Consider the following 6,000-nt stretch of genomic DNA (forward strand, 5'->3'; position numbering starts at 1 on the left):
GGGGCTTCTCACAGGCTCCACACAGCATCCCAATCTGTCAGACATTTATTTGTTCCTTCAACTGCCATGTATAGTGACTGCAGGGTTCCATGTAGTGAGCACCCTGTGCTGGGTGCTGGGGTGTTCCTGTTCTCAAGACGGCCAATCCGGTGAGGGAAACACTGGCAGCACCGAGGGGAACCATAAAGGGCTGTGGGAGCCCAGAGGAGCTAGTGATTTCCTCCTCTGTGTATAGGCGTGTTGTTAACCGCTGATGGCATGTGTTAGGAACATCTGCACAGGTGCATAGGTCCAGGCACACATTTCTATATGCGGCTATAGGCGTTTCATACATACATTTCATTATGGACATGAGTCAGCAGTCAGCGTGCTCTCGTGGAAGGAGCCCTTGACTGGGAGGAAGGAGCCGTAGGGTAAACTCCCCCAGCTCCCTTACATGGTCCCTTGTGCCCTCGGACACGTCCCTGCCCCTCTCTGGCCTCATATCCAAAGAGCATTGGCTCACCCGGCCTGCTCTCTGGGGGCCGCACTTTAGATAGTGGGTGGGGAGCACCCGGACCGTGGCCTGGTACATGGGGGGTGCTGCGCAAGTGAGAGTTACCTCGACGGGGAGGTGCTTTGTAAACTGGGCCTGGTGCTCTGTGATGAACATGAAGGTGGTGCCGGTTGTGTGCATGCACACACAGGGTTGTGTGCAGGGAGGCATGCCCTGTGGAGACGGCCACGTGTCTAGCTGGGCTCCAAGCTGTGTTGGCAAGGCCAGGCTGGCTCCAGCCAAGATGGCCCTGGCTGCAGGGGCTGCCATGGGCCAGGGTCACACTTCCTGCGGCCTCTGACTCTGCTCTGAGGAGTGGGCCATGGGGGAGTAACAGGTCAGAGTCTACCTTGAGGGGAGGCTGTCAGTCTAGAGATAACAGAAAGGGAGCCACGAGGACGCAGCCATCCATCAGGGCAGCGACTTGCCTGGGGCACCCCCACCTCTCCAATGGGGGAGCTGAGGGCAGGCGGGTAGGCCAGCTTTCAGTCCTGGCTCTGTCTCATCCTAGCTGCCTGCCCTGGGGCCACTCTGCTTCCTCATCCATAAACCAGTGGCAGGAATGCCCATCCCATAGACTCGTGGTGAAGATGAAATGAGCCACATATGCGGAAGCAGATGGCACCATGATTGTGCATAGGTGTCCAATAAATGACAATTGTGACAACAACTGTCCTTCCTGCACTAATTTTCCCACTTGTCCCACCCCCAACCAGTCCTGCCAGAAGGAACAATACCTGTGCTAAGAAGCCCAGGTGCAGGGGTAAATGCTGTGGAAATGGATCCCTTTATTCAGCCAGCACCCAGAATGTGCAGATCACTGTCCTGGGCTGGGGAGAAGAGACTCGGGCCAGGAAAGCCACACATGGGCCAGAACTGGGAGAACTGAAGCCCAGGGCACAGCAACCTGCCTGGGAGGGAGGAGAAGATGAAGAGGGCTTCCTGGACCACACCATGGAGCCAGTGTTGGGCCTTGGAAGGGAGTGGGGAGGGCAAGAAGGACACAGTCATGGGTGGGGACAGGGCTGCCAGTGTGACACCTATGTTGGGGTGAGGAGGGGAGAAGAGTGGTTCAAGGGTGGGTGTCTCAGGGCAGCGGTCTGTGTGACCAGTGATGGTCACCTGCTGACAGAGGGGACAGAGGAGGGCCGTCTAGGTGGGGGAGGTGCACCAGCAAAGGCATGGAGTCATGAGAAAGATGAGGGGACCAGTCAGGCAGAGTCAAGGGGGTCACTGTCATGAAGCAGCTGGCTTTGGGTAGGGCTTGGGTGCCGGGGCCAAGCTCTTAGACCTGCAGAGCAGGTGGCATTGGGAGTCATTTGGTGGCTGGGGCAAGATTGAGTGGCTGACGGGTGGAAGAGCAAGAGTGACAGAATCTGTCTCCCACCTCAGGACCCAGGCAGTGGCTACCCCTACACCCCTAGCCCACCTGGGACAGCCCAGCCAACCCATCTGTGTGTGTGGCCCTCCCTACCTGCTGGCCGCAAGCTGAGAGTCAAGAGTCGCCTCCAATGTGGCCTCTGAGGTTGAGTTTGCTCCCACCACGCTGGCATAGGTAGATAGAGTGGGGCGTGATGGGATATTCATGAGGTAGTATTCTGTGCGGCTGGATGTGCTCTTGCACTCAGTTACCATGTAGCGTGTGCCCACGATGAAGATCTTGAGGTGGGACAGGTGGCTGGGCCAGACCCAAGCAGGAGCAAGGGCTGCTCAGGGGCTAATGGTGGGGGCTCTCTTCATTACTCCCCACTTGCCCTTCTAAATCCACTCCCCATCTATGCCTGTCCCGCTCTGTGCTTCAGGAGACTGACCGTTGCTGATTGTATCATCTGGGCTCCTTGTCCTGCAAGTGAGAGACAATGGCACCCGATGCGCGGAGGTCACAACGAGAGCTTTAGGGTATTTATCCCTATGCCTCCCTATCTGCTGGGTTGTGCTTTAGCTGTCACGAGGCTCCCCTAACTCGGGCCATCAGTTCCCATGGGCCGCTCTTCTTCCGTGGCTGTGACTCTTGTCACTTTCTTTTAACTGCCATTGCACCTTGACCCTTCAGGGCTTGAGGTGGTAATGGCTTTTGGCAGATTCAGTTCCCCCATCTCTGCCCATCCCTTGTGGGTCCTCTAATGCCACCTACCTCTGTAAATTATGTCCTCATGAGTTTACCATCAGTTTGCCCACGGAGTTTGCCATGTGTTTTGGGACAGCATTCTGCCTGACACAGAGAGTGAATGTGAGTGTAAAAAGGAATGAATAAATGTGAGCGAAGGAAAGAGTGGGTGAAAGTAAATGCATGAATGAATGAGAAAACAAGTGTGAATGAGGAATTTTTGTGTGAAACTTTCCTTGTTTATTTTGCTGAGGTTGTAGAATCCACACTGGCCAAATCGTGCTTTTCCCTGGATCCCCACTGAGAATGGCAGGTCAGTGAGTGCAGCAAGTGCAGGCTCTTTGGAGGACACCGTCTCACACCCTGGAGGGAAGAGGAGCATCCTGCCTCACAGACTTGCTTCAAATCTCACCTAGAGGTTTTGGAAGGCCAGACTGGCTACCTCAGAATCACAACATGGGCTCCTAGAAATGCAGATTCCTGGAGCCCAGCCTTCAGGGTCTGGTTCAGTAGCATGGGGGTGGGGCCCAGGAAGCTGTGTCATCAACCAGTCTCAGGGGACATTGACATCCAGCCAGGTTGGAGAATCACGGAGCTGGCCTGCTCACCTCATCTGAGAGATGAGAGGACAGGTGCAGAGAAATCCCTGGCTCATGTGGCAGCCCCTCCAAAGCTGTTTAGCATTGGAGGTCCCAACTCATTCGACTCTGTTGACCCAGAGAGGCACTGGGGTGGACAGTGGATGTAACAGACACAGACAGACACACAGACTGGATCCAAATCCCAGTGCTGACACTCCCCTAATGTGGGACGATCAAAGCCAGTCACTCCATTGCTCGACTTCACTTTTCCCATCTGTAAAATGGACGAGATGCCATCTACAGCTCAGGACCACTGTGAGACTTTGAGAGAATTCCTCCCTCCCAACTACATGGTGCAGAGAAGATTGCACGATCATTCTACTCATTAGCATTAGGTGGCACTCACTGAGATGCAGGTATGGCTCCAAACGCTTTACATGAATGGCCTCATTTATTTCCCACAAGCACTGCCTATGAAGTAGGAGCTGTGGTCATGCCTGTGCTGTAGATGAGGAGCCAGAGGCTTAGAGAGAATGAGTCTCTTGTCCAGGGACACACAGCAGCAGCGGGGACCTGGGCCCACAGGCCATCTGAGTCCCTGCAGCCTGCACTCTTCAGCCCTAAGCTAAAAATGGCAGGTCCCTCCCCCATTCTCCTTAAAGGTTAAAACAGAGGGTAGGACCAATCCTGTGGGGGAGAAAACAGAACAAAGAGCTCTGAGAGGAAGGAAGCCAAGGGAATGTATGTGAGCAGGCGCCTCAGAGAGTATGGGGCTCAGTGTGTCCCTGAGCTTCCTGACAGCTGTGGCAGGAAGAAGGGGGAGCAGAATTCCCAAGTTTCCATTTTCTGGAAAAAAAGGAGGCACAGTGACATTTCTAAATGGACATTTGTCTTGGATTCCAGAGGAGTTGATCTTGTGGCCAGCTCAGCAAACATCCGGGACTAGAGAGTCATCTGTGATTTCATGAGACTCTAAAAGGCTTGTTCACACACATGATGCCCAGAGTCAGAAGGCAGAGAGGGAAGAAGAAATATGAAATCCGATCCAGAGGATAACCTTGCTAGGCTGCTGTTTCCACAGCAGTGGGGGGATGGGAGGAGACCTAGACCTTGTCTGTGTGTCTGTCTGTCTCCTGGACACACACTGACTGCACTGCCTCTCTGGGAGGAGACGCAGGCTGCTGGTGTACCTCCAGACTTGCCATGCCTCCAAAGACTGGGCCCCAGGTTGCATGGGCAATGAGGTAGGGTGAGGTTGCCAGTGAGCGTCACACTGCTAGGGCCTGGGAGCTGAGGGCCAAGCTGGGTCTGTCCGGCTGGGCTCAATGGAGGATGCAGAGAGGAGCTGGCTGTGGGACTGGGAGAGGAGCGTGGGGCAGGTGGAAGGGTGTTGTAGGCAGGAGTCACCGGAGGTTTGGGGAGGGGTTAGACTTCTCACCCTCCCCAGATAGCACCCCTTGTGCTGCCCTTTCTGTGGTTCTTCTGTCTTGTGAGCCCTCTGTACCACCCCATCCCAATCGTACCCACTCATACAGGTGAGGCTGATTTGCCCCCATCCACCAGGATCGAGAGGGCAGCCTGAGACATCTGGTCCCATCGTGCATCTCCTGCTATAGGACTCTCAACCCCAGCACACAAACCACCCCTCAGCAGCCCCACACCACACCACCTACTGCCCGACATTGCAAGACCAGTTGGCTCAGGCATCATGGCTGACTTCCCGGTTCAGTACGATGTGGTCATGGAGGACATCATTAGAGCCGTGCAGGTGAGGGGGCCTGGGGAAGAGGAGAGAGGATGGGCTCTGGAGTCAGACAGGCCTGAGCACACTGCTCGGGTCTCTCCAGCTGGTCACTCCAGTTTCCCTAGGGATAAGTGAGAGCTAGCGAACAAGGATAGGCTGATGTGAAAAGACACATGGCTTCAACCTTGGGAGGCACATCGAATCCCCCAAAGGGTTGGAGACCTGGAACTGTCTCCAGTGAATCAAGTGCCCAAAGGACCCATCCCTAACTGAATCAAGTCATAGCCTGCTCGAAAACAGTCCTTCTGCAAAGTAAACCCTTGGCCACTAATTGGGCACTCATGTTCATGGGCTCTCATGCATTCTATAGCTCCTATACTCTCCTGTGTTCTCTTGGGCTTCCTTGCTCTCTCTCGGCTTTTAACAATCCTTATTGCTTCAGTGGAGCCATCTGCCTAAACAGGGAGCCCTTCAATTCTGAGTTTCCACATTCATGAAGAAAGAGCAGAGGTCCCACACTCTCCCAGATGGGAAAGGACAGAGCACTGATCCCAGGGCCCTGGCTTGAGCACAAGGATGGCGGGGCAGCCTGAGACATCTGGTTCCACTCTGCCTCTCCCGCCACAGAACTCTCAACCCCAGCACACAAACCACCCTCCAGCTGCCCCAAACCACACCACACCACACCACACTTTTCTCCAAAACACCCGAGCCTGCCTCTCATCTGTGTGAGCATTTGCTCATGGTGGCCACTGCCCTGAGAATGACTTCTTCCTCCTTGCTCCACTGCTCAGCATCCTTGTGTTCCTGAAACACTGCCGAAACACCTCCTCCTTGATGACTCCAGTCCACCAACAATTCGTTTGTCTGCCCTGGACTAAAAGTGTCCCATGGTTAAACCTCTTCTCATGCATCATTCATTCATTCATTCACATGTTGAATGAATAAGTGGACTAGGCCAGTCTTGTACTCATTGACTCTGACAACTCAGAAGTGAGTCAGACACAGCCACTCATCTCCCTCTGCCATCACC

The sequence above is a fragment of the Homo sapiens genome, chromosome X, assembly GCF_000001405.40.
Source record: "Homo sapiens chromosome X, GRCh38.p14 Primary Assembly".
Classification (NCBI taxonomy): Eukaryota; Metazoa; Chordata; class Mammalia; order Primates; family Hominidae; genus Homo; species Homo sapiens.